Source organism: Homo sapiens, chromosome 20, assembly GCF_000001405.40.
Source record: "Homo sapiens chromosome 20, GRCh38.p14 Primary Assembly".
NCBI lineage: Eukaryota > Metazoa > Chordata > Mammalia > Primates > Hominidae > Homo > Homo sapiens.
The window spans coordinates 1,441,325-1,466,859 of record NC_000020.11 but is presented as its reverse complement, the minus strand read 5'-3'; the positions used below and the strand labels follow the sequence as shown (position 1 = coordinate 1,466,859).

Below are 25,535 nucleotides of genomic sequence, written 5' to 3'. Positions count from 1 at the left end.
CCGCCGGAGCGCTTTGGAAGGCGCACGGGGCGAAGATGGCGGCGGAGCGACAGGAGGCGCTGAGGGAGTTCGTGGCGGTGACGGGCGCCGAGGAGGACCGGGCCCGCTTCTTTCTCGAGTCGGCCGGCTGGGACTTGCAGGTAGCGCCGCGCGGCGGGCTGTGTCGGGTGGGCCGGGGACTGCTGGGAGCGGGCGCCTGGTGCCTTAAGCCCGCGGCGGCCGAAGCGCACAGTCATCCCCGCTCTACCGCGGCCCGACCCAGGCCTCATGGTCCCGGGACCGCTTGTCACGCGTCGCCTGCTCGGCTTGGGAGTGGGGGAACGCGGGCCAGCCCCAGCCAGTTCTGCCGTGCCAGTTTCACCCTGCCTCGCCCGCTTGCGGCGTCAGCGAGACTTCGGGCGCTGCGGCAGCCGGCGAGGAGAGGGAGCGCCTGGGGGCGTGGCTGCCGCGCCGAGTATCTGCTGGAGGCCGGGCTGGTCCGAGTGAGCAGCTCTTGGGTGAAGCCCCACTCGGGACTAGGTGGCCGCTCATTTCCACTTCCGAAGTCCAGCCCGGGAGTTGACCGCCGCCCAGCCTTCCTAATTGCTGGGAGAATACCTCTGGGGTGGTGGCGCAAGGTTGGAGCTTCTTCACCTTGCGTAGTTAACTTATCTGTAAAATGGGAGTCTCGTGGAAATTGCTGTGTAGTTCATTGGCACGTACTGAGTATTCACTAAATACTTGCTAAGAAGACTTAAGCTTCACGAGGCAGGGATTTTTGTACACTGATGAATTCCCAGTGCCTGGAACAATGCCTGGCACATAATAAGCATTCGGTAATTAACTGTAGAAAGAATTGCATAAATATTCTTGGCCAGCTTCGTCTTAGGTAGATGATGACGGTGATGACTAATATTTATTGAGTACCTACCATGAGCCAAGCGCTGTTCTGACTGCTTTACATGTCTTTTGTCATTTAACCTTCGCATTTTGCAGCTGAGATTAAAGAGGTTAAGTAACTTGCTCAAGGCCTCACTAGCTACCAGGCAGAAGAGGTAGAAGTGGAACCCAGTTCTGTCTGATTGCAAGCAGACAGAGCCCAAGCTTTAAACCACCATGTGCCAAGCACTTTACATAATATGATTCGTTGGATCCTAGCAACACTATGAGGTAAAGACTAGACCCATTTTATGGATGAGGAATTGGAAGCACAGAGGGCAAAGAATTTGCTCAGGGTCACATAGCCAGTAAGTAGCGGGGTTGGAATTTGAACTGAGTCTGCTGCCAAACGTAAATTACTCCCCAAACATAAGAATTCGGTAAAGCATCACACCTAGATCACACCTAGACACAATGGGAAGCCCCTATGCTGGGCAGAAATAAAAAGTTTCTACCTGAAAGACCTAAAAGCACACAGTGTTGTGACCAACAGATCTTCTGTCTCGTTCCCCTCACATTGTAGTGGGGAAACTGAGGATCATGCATGTGACTTGCCTGGCAGGAACAGGACTTGAATGTAGGCTCCCTGAGAATGCCAGTTCACTACATGGCCTGAGACAGCACACTGCCTCCCAGCAGATTACTTTTATCCCTTGACAGCTCACTGTCTCCTGTGAAGTTGGTGACCCTGAGGACAGAGGCCATGTCTATTTCATCTCTGTGACCTCAATGCTTTCTTGTGTTTGTGCAAAGCAAGTGATTAGTGAATGCCTGTCCGTTGAGTTGGTGACAGAGATGTCACAAATGACCAAAGGATTCCCATATTCCTTCTGTATGTGTAAACCTAAGATGCGAGTATGCATAAATCTTAATGGATTATCTCATCCAGTGTGCAGGTTGGTGAGACAGGTACCCCCATTTCACAGATTAGGAAACAACTTGAAAGAAAGGAAAAGTAGCAACCTGGACTGACTCCACAGTTCCTGACTCCGGGCTGTACTGGAAGCGCTTAAGAGTGAGGGCCTAAGCACACTAGCAGGGATGGAACCTGGCTCCTCTCTTTACCAGTTGTGTAAACTTGAACAAATTTTTTTTTAATCCTCAGTGCTTCTGTATCAACTATAAAATGAGATGATAAGAGTACTAATAGCATAGAGTTCTTGAGGATTAAACAAATTAACGTATGTAGAATGCTCAGAACAACCTGGCATGTAAATGCTCACTAAATGTGTGCTACTTTTACTAGATCACGTTTCTTCATAAAATGAGAATAAAGAGTGTCTTCCACCCCAGCCATTCTTACTGCCTTCTTTTCACCTTAGTGGGTGGAATTTGTTTCAGTTGACACGAAGACTAACAGCTGAGCTGTTAACCTTCTGGTCTAATTTTCTTTGGCCCATGGATGCAAGCTACCTTGTAAGTGTTGGCCATGTCTGTATTCCTTTGTGCTCAAAGGAGATGTGCGTTAGGTGAAGGCCTGTTTAAGGGTCCCAAGGTACTACCTCTCTGTTTCAGATCGCGCTAGCGAGCTTTTATGAGGACGGAGGGGATGAAGACATTGTGACCATTTCGCAGGCAACCCCCAGTTCAGTGTCCAGAGGCACAGCCCCCAGGTAAGGGCCAGCTTCAATTATCGCTACATGAGTGTTTCCAGCAGTGAAGAGGAGCTATTTTCTGACCAGAGCGTTCAGGCCTGGGTGTGTGGACCAGGTCTGAATGAGAAGGTTAGACTGAGTCAATGGGTAGTACTTCCCAGCAGGCCTCAGTCATTTCCTATACAGAGATGCATGACTTTTAACTGGGTGTGGTTTATGGTTCAATCCTGGGGGAAACCACAAACCTACTTTTAAGACTTTTACTTATGTAGTATGAGGAATGACCACTGCAACTCTAAAGTTTTTAAGTAAAAGCCAAAAAACTTCCTTTCAAGGGTGCTATAGATGTGAAAGTTTAGGCGAAATGACTTAGGAAAGCTGTTTTGATATTTTAGGATGCCCGTTACCTTATTAAGAAGTCTTGTACAAAATAAACCTGTGTAACCCACCCTTTGCCAAGTTGATTAGGGAGACCTTGTCTTACTAGGTAAAACAGTGTTAACCTTTGCAATCCCATTTGCATCCCCTGTCGCTGCCTCCCACAGCACCCACAGCAGATTACTCCTGTGCTCTGCAGAGTGAGACAATGCTGGTCTTCCAGGAGACAGGCAGGGGTGCTTCCTGTAAAGGTGTCTGAACCTTTACAGAGAGTGTGTAAGCAGAGGTGTCTCCCCTCTCTGCTTTCGCCTTATTGCTTCTACTCTCTAGTGTATGTTTTAGCCAGGAAATTTTATTTGGGTTTGAATTCAACCCCAGAATATAACCAACAGTGTTTCTTTGCCATGAAGTGGTAAATTATGTTTCTCTCTAAAGGCAACTGAGGTTTAAAATATATTTCCTCCCTTCGAAGAAGGAGCACTAACCCCAGATCTCATTGCTTTCTTCTTTCCCTAACTCCCATCCAGAGAAAAGAGGTAGGAGGAAAGTGATCTTGTAACTGTTTGCACGTGCTAACCTATGAGATGTTGGTGATGGCACATCTGGGTATTACTGCTTGGGACATGTTGTTAGGGTAAGTGCTGTTCTTGCAGCTGCTAGTAGAGATGGCTGATTTTCTGGGGTATGAGTCTTTGACAGCCACCTTAGGGTGTTGTTGGGATGTTGGCATGTCAGAATTATAGAGGGGGAGAGATTTAAACTTAGTCTCTAATGCCAGTTACATGTTTACTCCTTTCTTTTCTCCAGTAATCCCAAAGTTCTATTAAGGCAGTGGTTTATTAGCATGGGCCCAGGAGCCTGACTGCGTTGGTTCAAATCCCAGCTCTGCCACTTAAGTAAAAGCTTTGTGACCTTGGGCAGGTTACTTAACGTTTCAGTTCCTCATTTTCCTCGCCTGTCAAATGGTAATGATAGTGCCTACCACATGGGAGACTGAATGAGTTAATACTTACAAAGCAAATAGAACACAGCATGTGTTGTTATTATAATTTTAGTATTATCATTTTTAGCATTCATTCTCAATTGACCTGTTTTGTTTACTCTATTCCCCAACAAGTATGTACATTTAAGAATAGGCATAAAAGTGGCCAGGCGCGGTGGCTCACACCTGTAATCCCAGCACTTTGGGAGGCCGAGACTGGTGGATCACGAGGTCAGGAGATTGAGACCATCCTGGCTAACATGGTGAAACCCCGTCTCTACTAAAAATACAAAAAAAATTAGCCAGGTGTGGTGGCAGGAGCCTGTCATCCCAGCTACCCGGGAGGCTGAGGCAGGAGAATGGCGTGAACCCGGGGGGCGGAGCTTGCAGTGAGTCGAGATTGCGCCACTGCACTCCAGCCTGGGCGACAGAGCAAGACTCTGTCTCAAAAAAAAAAAAGGCATAAAAGTAAAAGAATCAAGGACATAGAGTTTAACATTAGAACTGAAGTGAGTAAAAAGACTGGACGCACATTTGGTCCAAGAGGCATTGCTTTATTGCTCTGGTTAAGGCTCAGACTTGGTAGTAGGCTTAGAAAAGAACTGAAGACAAGAAAAAGGGAGGGAGGAGGGCGCAGTGTGTTGCATGGTTTGTCCTTGTTGAGGAGGAAAGCAAATGCTAGGACTACATTCTCAGGAAAAACCAAACTTGTGCTAGCACCTCAGAGGAATTCTGTGTGGGGCCTGCCTCTGCTTTGACCTGGCAGTTGCAGGACACTTAGCCAGCTGCTGCCCTCTCCCATCCCCCACTTTTGACTTCTCACATACCCTTTTATGTTGTCACTGCTGCCTCAGAGCAACACCCAACTCTAGAATAAGGATTCTTAATATGGAGCCCGAGAACCCTAGGAGGAATCTATGAAATGAGCGTGAGAAGGTCTCTATTAATACCTGAAATTACAGGCAAAAGTTTGTGTACATGTTAGCAGGTATCTTTTGTGGCAAGAGAGTCCATGGCTTTTATGAGATTCTCAAAGGGCTGACAGACATAAAAATGTTAACCATTGCTATAGGAGACAGTTTAAACTCAGTAATAACAGCTGCCATTTATTGAGTATTTACGAGTGAGGCACTGAGTTAAGCTTTTACATGAACATCTTTTTAGTCCTCACAGCAACCCTGTGAGGTTAGTACTGTTGTTAGTACTGTTAGCACTGAGGTTAGTACTATTCCTATTTTACAGATGAGGACACTGAAGTTGGGTATCTTTCCAAGATCACAGAGCTAGTAAAACAAGGATTTAAGTGTAGGGCTGTTTTCTACATTCAGCATTTCAGCTCTCAGCCCCAACAATGTTCTGCCTCTTCTTGTGGACATTCAAAGTCCTCCAGAGTTTACCCTTGGACCCACCTTCCTAATCTGATTCCCTTTTCCTCATTTCTTAAATCCTTTGTTCCAACCAAACTGATTTCTTTGGTGCTCTAATTCTTCCTTATTTTTGGTTCTCCTGCTTTTGTTTGAGCCTCTCACCTGATCAGGTGTGCCCGCTCTCTTGCTTTCTGCCTATACAAATCCCATGCATCCTTCCATGTTTACCTCCATCCCCACTCTGCTGAGCGTGTTATTGCTAACCCTGTGACCAGGCTGCACGCCATAATTCTGTTCCACAGAACTCCAGTCACAACTATCACTCCTTCAGTTCTTTGACTATATCCATGTACTACTGGGTGGCATCTCTCCCACATTGCCCTGAACTCTTTTCCTGATATTTAACTTAATTTTTCTCCCCAAGTAAATTGTAAATTCCTGGAAGTGGGACGGCTAGTATTTCAGGAGCAGTCACCAAAGCTCTGCCATGTTTCTCACCTGTGTTCTCTTCTGATACTGTTCAACAGCTTTGAAATAGGTAAGGTGCTTACCATTTCGCTGGTCAGGATGCTAATTCTTAGAAAGGTCAAGTAACTTACAGCTGCTGTTACCACAGATTCAAGGCGAAGTCTGCCTAAGTCCAAAGCTGCTTCTGCTGCCACATGCTACCTCCCTGCCAGCACCTCCCACCCCTGTATGCAGGGTCAAGCAAGAGGTAACAGTTTCTTCCTTTTTTCCCCTCTTTCATCCAGCAAAAGTTGTACTTTAAACTTCCGGGAACTACGATTGTCTGATTCTCTAAAATTACACGATCCAACAAGGTAGCTACTAGCTATTTAAATTAATTGAAATTAAACAAACATTGTTACTCGTTTTCTCTAACCACATTTCAGATGCTTAATAGCCAAATGTGGCTAGTGGCTTCTCTGTTGGACAGTGCAGATAGAGCATTTCCATCATCACAGAGAGGCAGAGCTAGGGTAACCGGATTAAAAGCAGAAAATGTCATCTGATGAAGGAGTTTTGTGCCACTTCAGTATGCCAGAGTAGCCTGGGAGATAGTTCTAATATTGAAAAATTGAACTTTCTGAGATATTTAGCCAATTTGTAGAGACCATAGGACAAAAGTATTGTGCAATTGCTAATATCCCTAGGACATCCATGCCATAAGGTAACTGAAAGCATTACTCCAGACAGTGGTTCTGAACTTGAATATATGTCGGAATTACCTCAGGGGCTCCTTAAGGCTAGATTGCTGGATACCCCTTCCAGAGGCTCTGATTCAGGAGAATTAAGAGGGGGCCTGGGGATTTGCATTTCTGACAGGTTCACTGTAATGCTGATGCTCCTGGTCCATGACCACACTTTGAGAACTGCTACTCAAGAGTAGTACTTAAATGTGCCACACCATGCAAAAGACTTTCCGTGCATCAGTACCCCACCTGCACACAGAAAGCCCATAGGTTGGTGCTGTGATTGTCTTATTTACATGTGAGAAAATGAAGGCTTTGAGAATTTAAATAGCATGTCCAAGATCCCAAGGGTAGGAGGCAGAATTGGGATTGGAATCTGGTACATGGATACCAGAATCAATGTCGGATACCATCAGAGTCTGGGTGTATGAGTTTTGGGGGAAAGAAACAAAGCCATAGCAGAGCAAGTGATTTGCCCAAGCAAGTGTACACACATATATTTGAAAGTTTAACAACAGGGAGATAGAAAATATTTTTTTCATAGATGCTCATCCTAGCCTAGTCATTGGAAGAAACTTTAGGCTGAGCATGTATGGAAAATTCCCTTTGGGAAGATGAATGAGTGGAACTAGTACTCTCAGGGTACTAGTACAGATCTCATCACTTGGATCCTTTTGAACCATGTCATATCAAGCATCAAGGAATGCCCGGCAGACTGTTCTCAGGAGCCAACTCATGCAGGGAGCTTGTTTGCTACATTGATTGGTTTTTGTCTTCTCACTTCTAGTTGATGGATCCTCAAAACTCTTCTGTCCCCTGATTGTCTCCTTGAAATAAATCTTCAAGACTGAACTGGAGCTTTCTTCCTAGTAAACAGCTCATTAAAGCCTCACTAAACCTGTATTACTCTCTGTTAGTCTTTTCTCACACTGCTATAAAAAACTACCTGAGACTAGGTAATTTATGAAGAAAAGAGATTTAATTGACTCACATTTCCACAGCTGTACAGGAAGCATAGCTGGAAGGCCTTAGGAAACTTACAATCATGGTAGAAGGCGAAGGGGAAGCAAGCACATCTTCACATGGTGGCAGGAGAAAGCATGTGTGAAGGGGGAAGTGCCAGACATTTTAAAACGATCATATCTTGTGAGAGCTCACTCACTATCATGAGAACAGCATGAGGGAAATCCACCTGCATGATCCAGGTCCCTCCTCCAACACTGGGAATTACAATTCAACATGAGATTTGGGTGGGGACACAGAGCCAAACCATGTCACCCTCTTTGTCCCATATTATATGGAAGCTGCTTTTTTCCCCTAAGAAATACAGAATTTTTTTAAATCTTGATAAAACTTGTCTTATGATCCTTGAAAAACTTAAGCTTGTTCCTTGAGGACAGATCTAAACTAGGTGGAAAGTGGCAGTGGAAGATAATTTCAGAGAGAATTAACCCTTCTCACGCTCATTTTTAGTTGTGCCCATCCCATACAACACTGCTTTTTTTCTAAAAATAAATACTTCTTGACTAACCTGCAGCAGAAGTACACTGGAGCTTGCTTTTCCTCCAGTGCTGTCACCCTCGTATTCATTCATTCCTACTTCTTGGCTATGTGTCCTTCCTTCAACTCTCTGGTCTCTGTGCACTGTGTATGCTGCTTTCCTATAATGCTACACCAACCCCTTTTCCCCAGCAGCCCCATCACCATGATTGTCCACTAGTTCTTTGGCAGTTGGTCCAAATATTTCATTTTTCTGGGAAGCCTTTCTTAGTTTCCCTGTTACTCCCCGCTGTCTGTACTACTTAAGTCTGTACTCATTTTTAGTTGTGCCCACCCCACACAACACTGCTTTTTTTCCTAAATATTAATAAATACTTTCTAGTTTTTATTAAAGCCAGGGCAGCTTAAATTGGGATTCCATTTTACCTCATGATAGGACTTTCTAATTTATACTCAATCTGTGTGATCTTGAAAAAATAAATGCCACATTATTTTATGTGTAATCTTAGGGGATTAACCTTTCTCCACATAACGTCCTCCTCTCGCCTACCAAAAATGTAACCTCAGTGTCTTCACCTCCTTAGCAGCTGGTGATGAGGGTTACCTTTCTTAATGCTCCCTGAGATCATTTTGCTCCTTTCTGTGTCTCCAGTGATAATAGAGTGACATCCTTCAGAGACCTCATTCATGACCAAGATGAAGATGAGGAGGAAGAGGAAGGCCAGAGGTGAGTCTTCTAGAGGGGGTCAGGGGGACAGTTCACAGGGAAGTCCAGGGTAATGTGTAAATCACCTAGAACAGGACCTGGTAAACATGTTTGGTTATTGTTAGCCATTACTACTGTGGGCTGGTCTGTGTGGGTTATATCTTAGGAAGTCTCTTCTACTCCTTGTAGCTTAGAAGTGACCCCTGTTCCGTTACTTAATGTATTTATTGAGGAATATTAGGGGAGGGAAACAAGGAAAAGATCTAGCAGTCCCACTTTTTGGTATTGACTAAAAAGATTTGAAATCAGTTTGTAAAGAGGTGTCTACGTTCCCGTGCTCATTGCGGTGCTCTTCACAGTAGCGAAGTTATGGATCAGCATAAGTGTCTTACCAGCAGATGAATGGATAAAGCAAATGTGGTGTATATACACAGTAGGAATACTACTCAGTCTTTAAAAAGAAGGAAATTGTCATTTTCAACAACATGGATAGAGAACATTATGCTAACTAAAATAAGCCAGGCACAGAAACACAAATAAAGCATGCTCTCGTGTGGAATCTAGAACAATTCCAATCTAGAACAATCGACAGAGTGTGGTTACAGAGGCAGAAGTGAGGGCATAATGGGGAGATGGTGGTCAAAGGGTATAAAATCTTAAGACAGGAGGAATATGGTTTGGGGCTTTTTCTTTTTTAGATCTCTTGCACAGCATGATGAATATAGTTAATAAAACAGCATTGTACATTTCAAAATTGCCAAGTGTTAATTTCAAGTGTTCTCACCACAAAAATTTTGAGTATTTGAGGTGATGAATATGCTAACTAGCTTGATTTAATCCACTTCATATTGTTAAAGCATAACATCACTTTGTACACCATAAGTATATACAATTATAAATTGCCAATTTACAATTTTAAAAAATAAGGAAAAGAAAGAAAAAGTTATTCATTATATTACAGTCCATACGTAACCAGGTATCCATTTTTTGGTATATTTCTTTCCAGCTTTTTCTTTTTAATTTAAAAAACATCATGTAAAAAACAGAATAATAGGCTTATAAGTGTATATTTCCCCCAATAGACATGTACCCATCAACTATTTGTTTTTAACCTTTAGAACATTATAATAAAAATATCCATTATGGAAACTACAGACTAGTATAATGAAAAAGTCTTAAACTCATCTACCCTTTGGTAACTACGGTTGATATTCTGGCATATTTCCATCCAGTCTTTGTTCTGTATATAAATATGGTTTTGCTGGATCAATGCTACATCTCAGACGTTTCCCCATGTCCTTAAAATCCTTCATATGCCTTTTCATATGCTATAATAATAATCCATTATATGGGATGCCTGACATTTAGATTTTTTTCAATGTTTTACTACTGTAAATATCAGTGCTATGAACATTTTTGTGGATTAATTAACCACATTTCAGATTTTTTTTAGGATAGTTTTTAAAAATGGAAATACCAGGTCAAGGGCATGCATATTTTTAAGGCTCTTGATCACAGGCTCCCAGTTCTGAAGCCAGGGCTTTGAGATCCCTTAATAAAGACTTTATAGTCCATTTAGCAGAACTTCATCTACCTGGAATGAACAAGAATGAACGCCAGCCTCATTTCATGGGTTTTGGTTCTCCACAGGATCTGCCTCGGTCTGTCAGACATTCCTAAGGAAAATTGTATAATAACTATTTCGGGAATGCAGTTATCTCATCATGGTCAGTCTTTGGGGAAGTGGGCTGAGAAATTACATGTGTTCTATTCTCTATTTTCATTCCTATTGTGACCTTCACACCGACTCAAAACCTTCCTTTTAGATACTTCTGGATATAAAAATATATGTTAATTTTGGGGTTTCACACTCCTGAGTGAAAGGCAGTGTCATCAAGTACGTGAATGCCCAGCTCCTAAATGTCTTTCTCGTTCTCCTCCCACCCAGTCACGTCCTCCAGGCAGTGACCTTCCTTTATTTCACATTCCGCTTACTTCCTTGACCCCTCAGCATTTCAGACCTGAAAGGACACTGGTACTGTTGTCCTTGTCGGGGCCTGTGGCTTTGCCTCTCATTCCCTGGTGAATGTCAGGAAATAGAGGGCTGAGACTAATTTTTATAGGTTCTCAATTTTTCTTGCTTGGGGACAAGCTGTTGACTTAGCTCTGAATAGGAGTAATAAGGAGGCAGTGGGCCAGGCTGCATGACAACTGGTTTTCAGGCCCATATAAAAAAGTACTAACTTTATTATCTCAAGCCATGCCTGGCCTATTGCAAAGCCCAGTGTGGGTGTCTTGGGGCTTGTATTTGAGATTGGAGCTTCTCTGACCTCCAGTACCCTTTCCTCAGGGGCCACAGTGTGTGTCACATGAATGGCAAGGTGAGGTGAGGCTTGGGGGAGCTCCTGGTGCTGTGTCACACCACCTTACCTGTGTGCATTACTCTGTGCTTGTTCTTTTGCATACATCTGCTGATTTGAACCTCACGGCTCTGACTTAAGGAGCAGGTAGGTAGGGCATGTGGTCCTTCCCTCCCGTTTCAAAGACAAGGAAAGTGAGTCACAGAGTAGTGCACTGGCTTACCCAGGACATACAGTGGCAGAGCCAAGACTGGAGCCTAGCTGCTTGTACTAACCATGCCAGTGCCACCATTAACCCCAAGTCACTAGTGGTAGCTACTTCTGACTATGACTGTAGTCACTGTCTCCTGGAGAGGAGCCTGGCCACCAGATTGATAGTCCCAGCTGAGACTCTCTCCTGAACTGATAAGCTGTTTTGCATGCTTGGAATGCCTTTCCCCAGTTTGTTCACCTGATAAACTCATCCTTATCCTCAAGATTCAGCCCAGAAGACACCCTTAAAGGAAGCCTTGGCTGTCCTTCCCACCCAGTGTTCCCTCACTGACTTCTGTTGCTGCTCACACTGCATTTTACCTGCTTGCCTCCTTCCATGTGTTCCCAACTAGCCAGTAAATTCTTTAAAGACAAGCATTGTACCCTTTGCCTCAGTGTGCCCAGCACCAACCTGGCACATGCTCTATTCATGTTTTCCATGAGTGTTTCATGTTAGAGGTGTATTTTGTACACAGGTTTTATGCTGGGGGCTCAGAGAGAAGTGGACAGCAGATTGTTGGCCCTCCCAGGAAGAAAAGTCCCAACGAGCTGGTGGATGATCTCTTTAAAGGTGCCAAAGAGCATGGAGCTGTAGCTGTGGAGCGAGTGACCAAGAGCCCTGGAGAGACCAGTAAACCGAGAGTGAGTATAAGGGTCATTGTCTGTGCCCACAGGACTGAGATTCCAGAACTGGGAATGCCACCTTCTTCACCCCGGTAGTGACTGATTTTTTTCTTTTTTTCATTTGCTTACTTGGTCTTCTGTGCGGAACACGAGTGTAGTTTATCTCACCCTTTAACGTGAAACCAAGATTTGGGGCAGAGTTTTCAGACCTACAGCCTATGGTCTAGATTGGGTTCTGCATACATGTTTTGTTTGGCCTATCAAATTTGACTGACTTAGTGTTTTATTTTGTTTTACTTGAATTAATAGTCATCTGTTTTATATAAAATCGGGATTTCTGTCTCCTTTGAGAAAATCAAAAAGTCTTTGATATTGTCTTGTACCCAAATTCCTACATGGTCACGGTTAATGAGAGTTTAGTAGCATCTGTTTCCTTTAGCCAGGCACTGCCCCTTCCAGCTCTTAACCCCAATTCTGGCCACCTAATTCATTTACCATACTGCCTGGGCATGTAGGCACTGAGTCTGATATCAGAGAAAGTGCATCTAGTAGCTAACAAGCTTGATCAGGAACCCTGTCCTCTTTCTTCCTCTTACCTAAGATATATATATCATTGTATCTGAGTAACCCTTGTACCATGGACCAACCCCTTAAATGTGTATGAACTTGTCCCTTATAGCCATTTGCAGGAGGTGGCTACCGCCTTGGGGCAGCACCAGAGGAAGAGTCTGCCTATGTGGCAGGAGAAAAGAGGCAGCATTCCAGCCAAGATGTGAGTGCATCCACCTTCCCATGAGGGAAGCTTGTGGACTGTTCTGCCATTTTTCTGAAGGGATTGGTTACATATTGTGCATTAACCAGCAGCCTCTGAAAGGGAAACTAACAGAGACAGTGCCCTTGCTGTGGTTCACGAACAAAGACGCTTACTGGAAAATCAAAGGAGGTTTCCTGGGTGCTGGGTGAGAGAGCTGGTGAGAACAGGTGGGGAAAGGGGATGGGCAAATGAAGGAGTTTTTTGAGCAGCCCATGGATCTCAGGCAGAGGTACAGTGTATCTGGGGTTCTCTAGTGATGCGAGTATAGCTGAAGAACTTGGTCTTCAGACCACCAGAGAAGACTTAACACCAATTTTTCTTTTCTTTTTTTTTAGTTTTCCTCATTGTCCACTACTTTTTAGCCCTGTGCATAGGGTCTCCTTCCCCACAAGTGTAATCATACACACAATTTTGAGTCTTTTTTATTCAATATTATACCACAAACATCTTCTTGTAGTCTTGTGATCATTAATTTCTATAATATGTTTTAAATCATTTTGGGTTTTATTCCAAAATAAAGTCAAGCAAGAAGAAAATAAAAATTTTATCCTCCGAGGCAGCTGCTAATGCATTGGTTTTTAGCCTTCTAGACCCTTTGCTGTGAATGTGTGTGGGAGTTGTTGTGAACAGAACTTGTAGATAACATTTTTAATGACTGTGGAATAGTCCATGAGCAAGATTTGCCATGGTAGTTTAGTCGGACACTCACGGCATACCAAGCACAAGCAAAGCGTCGATTGAGTCACCTGCCCAGAGCCATATAGCTAGTGAGTGGCACAGTCAAGATGCAACCTCAGGTGTCCTAAAACAAAACCCCTGCTCTTAGTCTGTGCTAGGCCACCTTCCTATTCTAGGTTAATGCTTATTTAGTTTGCTTGTTGAGTTGCTTGTGCACACATGTATATATGTGTGTCTCTATGTGTGTTTTAATAGTAGCAACACTGAGAAATAGTAAAAACCTGCTAATTTGCAAGTTCAAATTGGTATGCTTGCCAGATCCCTGGTAACTGTTTACTCCCTGTCATCACAGGTTCATGTAGTATTGAAACTCTGGAAGAGTGGATTCAGCCTGGATAATGGAGAACTCAGAAGCTACCAAGACCCATCCAATGCCCAGTTTCTGGAGTCTATCCGCAGAGGGTGAGTGAAAAAGCCCTCCTGTAGGTCCCAAATCAGTGAGTGGATAGCAGTTGGGAAAGGAGGAGGCAGAATGTTTATTATTTGAGGAGTAAATTGTTTGAAGCAGATTCAGCATAGTTGAGATACGGATTCATAGATCTGCTCCAAAAACCTTGTATGTCCATTTTTCCCCTTTGGGCCTGAGGCAGACCTAAGTGGCCAAATAAGAAATAGGTGTCGGCCATGGCTGAACAAACAAGAGAAAAGGTGGAGGCAGACAGGTAGCCACCAGAGTAGCCTGCTCCCTTTGGAGGCCCAGCGATTTTTCACCACGGGACTGAGAGGTTTCTTCTCCCCTTTTCCCATCACTGTCATTTCCATCTTCTCTCTGTGGACCTCAGCATGGCCTTTTCTTCCACAGGGAGGTGCCAGCAGAGCTTCGGAGGCTAGCTCACGGTGGACAGGTGAACTTGGATATGGAGGACCATCGGGACGAGGACTTTGTGAAGCCCAAAGGAGCCTTCAAAGCCTTCACTGGCGAGGGTCAGAAACTGGGCAGGTAAGGGGCAGCACAGGTTAGAGCCAGACTCTGTCAATCACACCTGCCAAGCCCAGCAGACCCTGTGTATCACTCACTTTGGTTATTAGCTCTTTACTGTTTACAAAATACTTCAAATTTTATTTGTATGGGAGGAAGAGTGTGGAGAACATGGACTGGAGTTAACAGACCTGAGTTTATATCTCTGCTTCACTTTCTAGCAGTGTGACCTTGGACTATATAGCCTCAGTTTCCTCAACTATAAATTGGTACTAATAAGAGTCCATACCTCCTAGGATTATTGTTGCAAGGAATAAGTGAGCTGATGCATGTAGAACACTGTTCCATAGTGAGCAGTCAATGTAAGCAGAAAGTGTACGTAATTGCTGCTGTGGCTCAGTAATCTAGGGTGTTCAGGGAAGGTGTCATCTCCTTGATGGCTTAAGGCTGAAATGAGGATTCCAAGGGGAATAAGAAATTACAGACTCTTGCCTAGCCAGGCCTCACAGTGTGTTGCTCAGGATGCAGGGACACTCAGGAACCTTGCTGCCCCTTTGCAGGCTGGTGTGCCACCATTATGACAGCTCAGCAGCTCTTATTTCTACTTATTTGGCCCTTCCTGACACTCACTCTGCCACTTGTGACTTTTTCTGCATTGTGTCCTCTGCTACTGCCTTCTCACTCCTGTACCCTCTACTAACAGACATTCTCTATCTTCCATTCAAAGCCTCTGATGATATCTGATTGGTTAATAGTCACTGGTATCCCTCATACGGTTCTCCCACCAGACTCTTGGCCAGCCCATAGGTAGGCTGCCTTCTCTCAGGATCCACTTAGCTTTGGCCATGGCCATGGGGTCACCTGATGAGTGTTCTTCAGAGGGAACTGTGCACATGATAGGCATTTAGAGCATAGTGACCCTCCTTGCCAATATGATCCTTATTTTGTAGAGAGAAAGCTGAGGCTCTTGGATATTAGGGGCCTTTCCTTGGGCACATGGCTGGTGTGTGTTAGAGCCAAGACCCCAGGCCTTCTGACTGGCATTCCTTCCTGCACTCCTGCACAATGAGACATCCTTTCTAACCTAGATCTGGCAGTTCTCAAAGTAGCTACTGCCCTTGCTCACCTCACTATCTTCAGAGATCAAAGCTTGGTCTTCCAACAACCATGCCCTCTGAGCTTCTGGCTGGCCCTCTCCTGGAATCCCTTACCTGCCTGTTGACCATTCATGCCTCATCAGGAGCAAGGGTCAGAGTTCAGGGTATTAGATTTACCTGGCCCAAAGTAGTTAAGTCATCCCTGTTCTCATCATTTCATCTACTGCATCAAGGGCTGTGGACTAGCCCAGGACAGCTATTCTCACAGAGAGTGTCCCTGTCAGTTGTGATGAGCTTTATAGGGCACCTAATTTTTTTTTTCTTTGATTATTAAAATAATACATGTTCATCTTAATAGAAAGTGCAGGTAAAGAATAAAAGCTGTCCTGAAGCTAACACCCAGAAATATCTGGCAAGTGTATCTTTCTTCTCTTACTCATTTGCATGTATTTGTAAACATGCTGTTGTATCACCTGCTTTTTACTTTATCAGTGAAGTATGGCTATCATCCTTTATCAGTAAGCTTATTTCTACACTTTTAATTATAATGCTTACATAATTTTCTAGCCCATAAATGTGCCATAATTTAACCAGTCCTTGCTGTTAAACATTTAGGCAGCTACCAGAATTACAACATTGCAGTGAATATCTCTGTGATTAAATCTTTGTACACTTGGGCTAGACATATGATTATTGTTTCAAAAGGGCTTCATACTTTTAAGATGTCAAATTGCCCTTCAAAAAGGCTATATTTTTTATGCCCACCACCAGTTACAAGGGAGGGCTCAGAACTTCAGAACACCATGCACTTTGGGTATGATTTTATAATACTAACAGGAAATGTTTCTATTGGAAAGTCTAACCATATTATGTGTGTGAAACTCTGCATCTCAGAAAATTAAAATATCTTTAAAGTCTATTTTAGCATGATAGGAATAAATATTAATGTGGAGAATGAGCACAAGATAGAACTTGATATCACCATGATGTTTATCAACAAAGTGTTCACTGCCAGTTCCACTTGCATTTTATTTCAGTTCTGGCTTTTTATGAAAACTTAGCTTAAAAAAAAAACAGCCACAGTTTTATAAAGTTAAGTGAGATGGGACTTTAGCTTTTCAGTCTAAATCAGGACAGCTGCTTTAGTTTTTCTCATAAATTTTACTATGTTTTTCATTGTCTTGTGAACCAAAATGATCAGAAGCCAAAAGTCTTGAACTTTTCTTGAAATTTTTCCTGAAAATTTTCTCAGATTTGCTTCAAAAATCAGTCAGTACTGGGCTTTTTCAAAATCTTAATTATCTGGGAAAATACTTCAAGTGAATGAATAAGTTGTCTCAGTTAAAATATTTTGAGAAAATTCAGTTGTATTAAATTTTTTTTGTTGTTTTAGTAAAAGGCAAAAGATGTATACAATCTGAAGAGAAACCGGAGAATTTTGTTGTTGTTTTAGGTTTTACGTTAGTTTGTTTGAGTTGGGAGCTGATCTGAAGGTTCGAATTGCAAACAGCAAGAGTGCACTTGGGAGGAGGGGTCACTGCTGCTGGAAGTGAGCTTTAGCTGCTCCCGTGCCTTCTGTAGTGGTTATTTTTGTGGAGAAGATGGCTGGTCTCAGGATTTGTAACTGTGGCAAGAAAGTACCTAGTGCCAGTTTATTCCCCCTGTAAAGATAGGAGGAGTTGGGTGATTCGGGCTCTTGAATTGAGACTCATTTTCCCCATAACTTACGATGTTTGCAGGGAGACACCAAAAAACACTATTTATAGACGTCTGCTCTAACCTTTCCTGCCTGTGAATCAAGCACCCTCACAGCTGCAGATGGCCAGCCGCTCACTGGGAGCAGTAGCCCAGCTGTTGGCAGTTCTCAGGAAGAGCTGGCAGGCCAGCTCCTTTGAACAGATGCGTGTGGCTGCCCTGCGGGATGATTAGAGCACTATGGAACTAATATTCTTTGAATGATGTGCTCTTATTATTTGAAAAATCAGGAGGCCTGGTCTTCAGGTTTCCCCTCCTCTTCCACTCCCCATCCTCCTTGAGAGCAGTATAGACTGGGAATGCCTGTCAGGTGACCTTCCACTTACAGCCCATGGCAGCTGATAGCATTTCTAGTCGATTTTGGTCCAGAATTGAGGCAAATATAAGTGGGGCAGGACCTTGAAGAATGATATAATTAGTTAGTCGAGTGTTTTATGTTGTTAGCTAAGCGCTATGCTAAGTATTTCATTTATTTTATCTTCTTTAATCCTGTTTTAATCCCCATTCTACAAAGAAGGATCCTGAGACTTGGTGAGATCCATATTGCTGGCCAGTGCAGAGCTGGGTCCCTCCAGTCTCTGCCTTTACCTGCCAACCTGCATAGCATCCTGGATATTCTTGCATAGCCACATAGACATTTGTTTGTACTTTTAGTATGTGTTGGGTACAGTGCATGTTTTTAGCTATTTTCTCAAGTATCTGGGAAGTTTTAACTCTGTTTTATTGATGAGGAAACTGGGTCTTGAAATCCAGGCCTATACCTGTCTGAGTGTAAGGCCCAACAGGAGAGTGGGACAGTGTGAAGAGCACAGGATGGAGAGCCAAATAGCTCGGATTGTATACTGCCTCTACCGTGAACCAACACTGGGATTTTGGGCAAGTTGCTTCACCCTGCTGTGCCTCAGTTTCTTCATCTGTAATGAATCCCTACCTCATAGGCTGGGGGTTAAGCCTGTGGGTTAAGTAAGTTAATACATGTGAAGTACTCAGCACAGGGCCTGGCTTAGGAATGGGTGCCTCATAAATAGTCACCATGTTTATCAGGCCACCCTGCCTCACCTAATTTTTAGGGAGTGTGTAAGAGAAACAGCCAGTCAGAAGCTACACAGCCAAGTCCAGGCATCAGGCTTTCCTCATCTCTTCCAGTGATGACCCACCAGCAGTCTGCAATGGGACGTGCTGGGAAGCAAACCCAAACAGCAGCTGCTTCCTTGTGTGGAGGATTTCCTAAATACCAGGCCTTGCGTGCACATTATCTCGTCTCATCCTCACAACAGAACAGCTCCTCATTTTACACACAAAGACACTGAAGCCCTGGGAAGTTGTGACTTGCTTAAGGCCACACTGTCTGTTTAGAGGCAGAGCAGAGGCCAAATGGTGGTGGCTCAGCTCCAAAGCTTGTGCCATTTCTCTGGCATCACACCAACTCTCCTTGATAATAGGGACAGTAGGGACTGCTTCCCCAAAAGGCGTGGAGCTGTGGTAAGGAGAGTATCTCCACTTTATAGAAAAGGAAATTGAGGTGCCAAGATGCTCAGTAACTTGCTGAGGGTCATCAGCTCATAAGTGAGGAGTGAAACTCAAGGAGAAGTTTGAGAAAGCATTTCCAATATAAATATTATTTTTCTAAAACCATCGTAATTGTAAAGCTTGACAAAATCCTGGCTGGTGGGAATACACAGAATATATACTGAAAGGAGGCTTGTTCATTGCATTAGTTTTTAAAAATGATCCATAGCGTGTGTGTGTGTTTTCTCATCTATAAAATGGAGATACACCCCTCTCAGAGGATGGTTGTGGTGATTCAGCGAGGTCGTGGCTGTGAAAGCCCCTTTAGACAATACCTGCACAGAGTCGGTGTAAATGTCACTCCTGTTTTTTCTGCTCCCCACCCCCTTAACTGATATCAGCTATTTTGGCTTAACAGCTTCTTTCTCATCTTAGGCCTGCCTGAAAACGTTATAGTTCCCTTTCTGGCAGGCGGTGGTTTCAATGAGTACGTATACTTTGAATTATTATAAATAGTTGAGGGACAGGCTGCCTAAAGTCTAATTGGAGAGTTAACCTAATGTCTGTGAAACTAATGAACAAAACGAGATAGTGTAGATCAGGAATGTCCAGTCTTTTGGCTTCCCTGGGCCACTTTGGAAGAATTGCTTTGGGCCACACATAAAATACACTGATACTAATGATAGCTGATGAGCTAACAACAACAAAAAGCAAAAAAAAAAAAAAACTCATAACATTTTAAGAAAGTTTACAAATTTGTGTTGGGCTGCATTCAAAACTGTCCTGGGTCGCATACGGCCCATGAGCCATGGGTGGTTGGACAAGCTTGGTGCAGAGCTTAGGCATTTACAGGTATATGAGATTTACCTATTCACTATTTCCAATCAACTCTTGTGGCCTATCGTAGTGTCATTTAAACTGTGTGTCCCAGCCCACACTTTTTGAGTCCCACATGCTTTGAGGCTGATGCAGAGAAGCAGCTTCTCTAGTGCTAGTAATGTGGGTGACATTCTCCTCTGAGCTCTACTTTGTAATTCTGTAAGTCCATGTTTTTCACATTCACAGAAAAGAGTAAGTTTGCTTTTCAGTCATTCTTTAATTATATGCTTCAGGGCAATATTTAACTGTGCAATCTCTCAAAACCTTTAATGTGCCAATGGCCTCTGAAGCTGCTAGTGTAATATGTGGCCTTTCCTACACCTTCCTTCCTATGGAACACACTTTGGAAAGCACTTTCAGTTGGATTTGCTCTCAGTACCATTTTTGGGGCTGTGAAGGGGGAAGAGTAAGTTACAAGAACTGATCTAATTAGAGGCTTTGAGGGGAAGCAAATGCTCATCTAGTGGCCTTTCTTCTTTGCAAAGGTCTAAGTCAGGTCATCTGCTAAGAGAAAGACTGGGAGTGAAGTGGACAGGTGGTTTGGAGGAGAGAAGGCGGCTCCATACAGTTGTGGAGAATTGGGAGTCCTATGTGCATTTTGTGTTTGTCAGCCATCCTGAGTGCATTATGCAATTTTCCCCTTTAATCCTAACAAAAACTGAGCAAGGCCTATGCCTTAACCCTTTAAAAATCTAATTACTACCTTTGTTGAAACTAAGGGTGCTTGAGTAATTCAAACCCTGGTCCATGTGATTCTGAGATATGAAATCTAACACTGTGTCTGACACCGTGTCCTGTTCATTGTATGATGAATCCCAGCAGAACCCAGCACTTAATTGGCTTTTCAGTGCCCTTTAGAACTCTCTCCCCTGCCCTCAATAGTGGATGTATGAGTACAGATACACATGGGAGTGAGGTGCACTAGGTAATGCAGGCCTGAAAATTCCATCACAGAAGAAGAATCTGGATTGCTTTGCCTGCATCCTGCCACTCACCTGCCAGGCTGTGCCAAGGCTGCCTCAGCTGCAGACTTGGAACACTCCCCTCCACCACTCCATTGAGGCTAAAACTGACCCTGTTCTATTATGTCTTCCAGCCTTATGACCCTGTCTCTCCCACCCTAGGCTGTCCTGCTTTCCTCCCTTCAAGCCCTTGTTCAGTTGAAGACACCAAGGAGGAAAAAGGCCGAGTAACTTGCCCACATTACTCAGGAGCGAGGGAGCTAGCAATAACGTATGAAATATATGACTCAGGGTTTGAAGTGAATTCTGCTGGACCTGTAAGTTCCATAAGGGCACGATTTTCCCTGTCTGGGTCAATAGATCAGCAGCACCAAACAATGCCAGGCGCATTGCAAATGCTCAGTAACAGTCCAAGAAGGGATTCCCTTCTTGCTAGGGGCCTTGTTTCTGCTTGTGTTCTGATGCCATCCTCTCTCCTCAGCACTGCCCCCCAGGTGTTGAGTACCAGCTCTCCAGCCCAACAGGCAGAAAATGAAGCCAAAGCCAGCTCTTCCATCTTAATCGACGAATCAGAGCCTACCACAAACATCCAAATTCGGCTTGCAGACGGCGGGAGGCTGGTGCAGAAATTTAACCACAGCCACAGGTACCTTGCATTGTGTGGCCTAGCTTATTCTAGGAGTGTCCTCTGGGCCTCACGCAAATGTGTGGGAAGCAGAGAGCCGTTCTTCCTCCTAAATACCAGCAGGCACTCCATGCTTTCCCCAAAGCAGACACGAGGGTGGTAAGGACTACAAGTCTGAAGCCTTAAGTTCTGGTCCCCACTCTTCCATTAGTGTGGCCAGTGACTGTTCACTTCCCCCTGTGTGTCTCATTCTTCATCTGTAAAATTAGAGTATTAGATTTCTCAGGGCTTTTTTTAAGCTACCAGACTTCAGAGGAAGTCCCATGCTAAAGTCCTGTGAAGACATCAAATTAGAACTGCTGTGGTTGATGGAGGAGAAGGGGGTGCAGTGTCAGCGTCCCACTCACCTGGCTTCCTCCACCTCCCTCCCCACAAGGGGCCTGTGAAAATTACTGGGCCAGGAAGATCTCTTCTAGATCTGGCTGTCGAGAATTCTGGGAATGCCTGCTCCACATCTCAGACCATCTGGGCTGGATCAGTGCCTTCTTCATTTTAAAGATGGGGAAACTGAGCCACAGCAAAGTGAAGAGACTAGTAGGAGAGGTGCTAGAGGACTGTTGCCAGTAAATATATTTGGTGCCTCCTTTCTGTAGAACAGAAGTGTCTAAATGTTATTGGTCATGAGCCAACTAAGCCAGCACCCACATGTGGGATCAGTGAATTGTTTGTCAGTCGTTGAATATTGACTGGGCTCGCCTGTGGGTGACAGCGGGAGACAAGCCCCAGCTGTGAGCCAGGTGCATCTAGAGCCTATTGAGACCTCCTTCATCAGGAACATTCATTACACTCAAGTGCCTGGTGGTTAAGCGAGTGACCCATCCCAGTGATGTGAGTTATTTGTCTCAGTTTCATTTCACTCATTAAGCTCAGCACACTGCTGCCCATTCCCAGGGTGGACAGCCCATGCAGAGGCTTTGCTAGGTGAAAAAGCTTGGTTTGCTAAAAGTCACAGGCAGAATCCTGCAGGTCCATGCCCTTAGATGTGCCAAATTGTAAGTTGCATAGATTTTAGGGGTTTGGGGCAAAAAGGAAACTTATGTTTAAGTGCTCTAGGGAAGGAGGCATTGTTTCCAGGTGGTTTCATTGTCATATGATCTCCAGGTTCAGAAGGCAGGTAGTGTCTGGAGAAACGATTCCTGGCCCTGAGAAGTTGACCATTAATTTCTGACAGATAGTTTAAGTGCCTCCTGTGATATACAAAAGAGACACACACTGTCCTTGTGAAATTCATGAGCTGCAGGAGGAGACACTAATCAGATCATCCCAGAAACGTGGAAGGAGGGCCAGGGATGGAGCCAAGGAGCTAAGGAGGGCTTTCCTGAGGAGGTGGCATTGGATCCGAGGCCTGAGTTGTGATTAGGATTACAGAAAGGGGATCAGGCAGGGGAGCCTCTGGAAAGAAGGACCCAAATGTGGGAAGAGAGTATGGCCTGATGAACTAGAAGCGGGCAGAAGAGAACGAGGGGAAAGAGGGTGGTATAAAATTAGGTCCTTGGGAACACAGTAGGGTTGTTGGTGTTTATCTCAAGGAAAATGGAAACAACAGTGAAGGACTCTTGGCAAGGAAGGGACTTGGTCCCACATGCCTGAGCGTAGCTTTCGCTGTTCTGTGGAGAAAGTCAGGAAAGGGGATTTGCGAGGTGTTTAGCTTTCCACAGGGCAGGGGTATGGACAGCAGAGGATGGCACTGCTCACCGCTTCCCCAACTCCTGCAGGATCAGCGACATCCGACTCTTCATCGTGGATGCCCGGCCAGCCATGGCTGCCACCAGCTTTATCCTCATGACTACTTTCCCGAACAAAGAGCTGGCTGATGAGAGCCAGACCCTGAAGGAAGCCAACCTGCTCAATGCTGTCATCGTGCAGCGGTTAACATAACCGCCCAGCCAGCTGCCTGGCCTCCCTCCTGTGTTTCCCATGGCCAGTGGCCATGCCCCATGGGGATCGCCCCTCCTGCCCCCTTGTGCACACCCAGCAGTCCAGTGCAACGTCTCCTCCATAGCTCTGGGTTCTTAGATCTTGGTTGGACGTTTGTTTTCTCCTTAGTTGCATTTCCTGGGTTTTTGTGATGATCAATGGACTTTAATGAAAAAAAAAATAAAAACAACCAAAAAAATTGAAGGAATATCACCAGCATGTTGTACGGAAACTCTCCCACTGAAGCAGGCTTTAATTGCTTTAAAATTATATTTATCTTGGGGCCTGTGGGAGGAAACTTCCTTCCATCTTCTCTGCATAAAAACTTGTGGCACACAATGCTTATTCACTAGTGTGTCCCACCCGCCAGCCCCACAGATGACTGGAGGAAGGAGGGGAAATGTGTAGAAAGAGGCTTCGCCACCACTTGTTCCCACGAGAATATGTCACTTGCCCAGATAAAACTGGGCGGCAGCCAGAGTTCCCTGAAGTGGGAAGTCAGAGCTCCATGCACACAGTGTCTTCAGAAGGTGAAAATAAATATTTCCCTGTGCTCCTTTTACTCAACCCCTGGGGTATCTAATCTTGCCAGGTCTTGGCCAGTTGAGATTCTGTTCCACCTGCCTGCCTGGCCCTTTCCTCCATTACCATCCAGACTGCTCGCCTCCTGGGGATTCTCAGGGGCTCCATTATGGCTTGATTTACTCCACGTGCAGAAGTCTTGAGTGGACCTAGGAGGTAGGTGGGATATTTTTTTTCACTAGGATACAGCTCATGCCAACCCATCCTAAGTGAGTTCAGAATCAGGGTATCTTGCCCTATAAGATAAACAGTCAAAATGCCACCGAGCTGTTCACTAGTGATGTGTGGCAAATCAAATCAACTGTTGAAGAAGGGGTGAGTTTTCTGTGCTACAAGCACCTGTCACTGTTGGTACTTGCAGGAGGCTTCTGCTGGGTATGTTTTGGAAGTGAGTGTCACTACTTGGCTTTGCTTAGCAGGTTCTGCTTCACACTTGTTCTTTGACCTGCTGACTTGTGACTTGCAGAAACATAGGCAGTAGTCCTAGCCTGGTAAAGACCCTCCACCACCCCTATAAGTTTGATTGCTATGCAGGTTTGGGAGAGGAGGCCTATTGGGCTCTTGGATGGAACCCTTTCCCGTATTAAACAAACCAGAGACAGAATCAGTGCTGACTCAGGATCTCCTGGTTTGGAATCGTAATGTGCCTCAATCCTCTTTCCAAGCAGGCCTCACCAGTCTCTTTCTCTTTCCTGCTTCACCCCTGCAATGAGCCAAGAACCAACACTACATCCACCTAGAACTGCAGAAGGGCTTGTGGTTTCAACCAAGACCCATCCTGAGCAAGGGACTTGGCTTGGTGCTTTTGATCCCAAAGTTCCCACACCGGCAGTGGCCTGCTGGGGCAATGGCATCTGTCACGGTGTTTTCTCCAGCAGGTGGAGATTATGGAACCTACATATGGGTCTGGAAAAACTGTACACTGTTGTCACCTTGACCATTAAAAACCAGAATGAGGACAATGGAGTTTTGTACTTTCTAATGGGTTGCTTTGACGGAAACTACAGCAGCCAGCAGAAGTACTTAAGTGCTTCACAAAGGTCCCACTTTACAGTGCAAAACCTTGAGCCCCAGTCACACTGCTAGTAAGTGGTAAGGTACTGCCTCTTCCCATCCAGAGCCCACGTTCAGCCACCATGGAGTGCAGTATACACTCCATCCCTAACTGCCAGGCCCATATACATACACTTGACCTCCCCCTACCTCCTTCTCACAGTGTCTGCTTAATTAATTAGTATATTGCAGAAGAGATTGTAAAAACACCCACTTAAAACCTGTATCATCTACGGTAGTTTGCACAGGGCCCCCAGCACCTCTGGGAAGTAAGCGAGGCAGGTGATCTAACTCTTACCTATATTGTTGATGCAGCCACCACAGTTGAGAGACAGTCCCTCTGACCTTGGACCAGGGATCACACTGGTCTGGTTCCAGGCTGGGGAAGGATGTTCCCAGCCCTAGTTTTCTGTTTTGGGCAGTCCAGATGGAAAGGCCCATCCACCCAGATAGGTTTTCACAGGTTTAGAAGAAAAAGGATACTCAGCCACTGGTTCCGGGGCTTCTGAATTCAGTTCTCAACTGGGGCATTTTGGATCTCCCCAAAAACTGGTTGGTAAGAGAACCTCCTGGCATTAAATGGGCCAGGACAAGGATGCATGTCAGTTCATTGGATATGCCTTGATAGATACCCAAAACTCATCAAAATGAAAAATAGGCAAAGTAATTGTCATGATGCCCTTTCTAAAAGTGCAGTTTTAACTAGTCTTTGCTGTGGGATGTGGGTTGTTTGATCTTGTTAACAATCAT

The 25,535-nt window shown here is 44.6% G+C and overlaps 1 protein-coding gene across 16 annotated transcripts, besides 1 other annotated feature; it reads left to right on the top strand.

Annotated features, from left to right (window-relative positions):
- Positions 11 to 24,694, top strand: NSFL1C (NSFL1 cofactor). Of its 16 annotated transcripts, XM_011529300.3 has the most exons (11): positions 11 to 140; positions 2,434 to 2,531; positions 3,419 to 3,427; positions 8,586 to 8,660; positions 11,141 to 11,146; positions 11,728 to 11,893; positions 12,555 to 12,647; positions 13,720 to 13,829; positions 14,230 to 14,367; positions 21,030 to 21,194; positions 22,949 to 24,694. In XM_011529300.3, the coding sequence occupies exons 1-11, from the start codon at positions 36 to 38 to the stop codon at positions 23,109 to 23,111; spliced, it is 1,128 nt and encodes a 375-aa protein (XP_011527602.1). In that variant the 5' UTR covers positions 11 to 35; the 3' UTR covers positions 23,112 to 24,694. The 16 variants fall into 16 exon arrangements, 15 of the variants coding, with proteins under 15 accessions (XP_011527602.1, NP_001193665.1, XP_011527603.1 ...); NM_001206736.2 differs by lacking the exon at positions 3,419 to 3,427; XM_011529301.3 differs by lacking the exon at positions 11,141 to 11,146.
- Positions 281 to 782: an enhancer, noted in NCBI's record as "H3K27ac hESC enhancer chr20:1446723-1447224 (GRCh37/hg19 assembly coordinates)". NCBI's record gives its function as "activates a minimal SCP1, AML or CMV promoter by ChIP-STARR-seq in naive H9 embryonic stem cells {active_cell/tissue: H9 hESC(naive)}" and the evidence as "EXISTENCE:reporter gene assay evidence [ECO:0000049][PMID:30033119]".
- Positions 24,695 to 25,535: the final 841 nt, after the last annotated feature.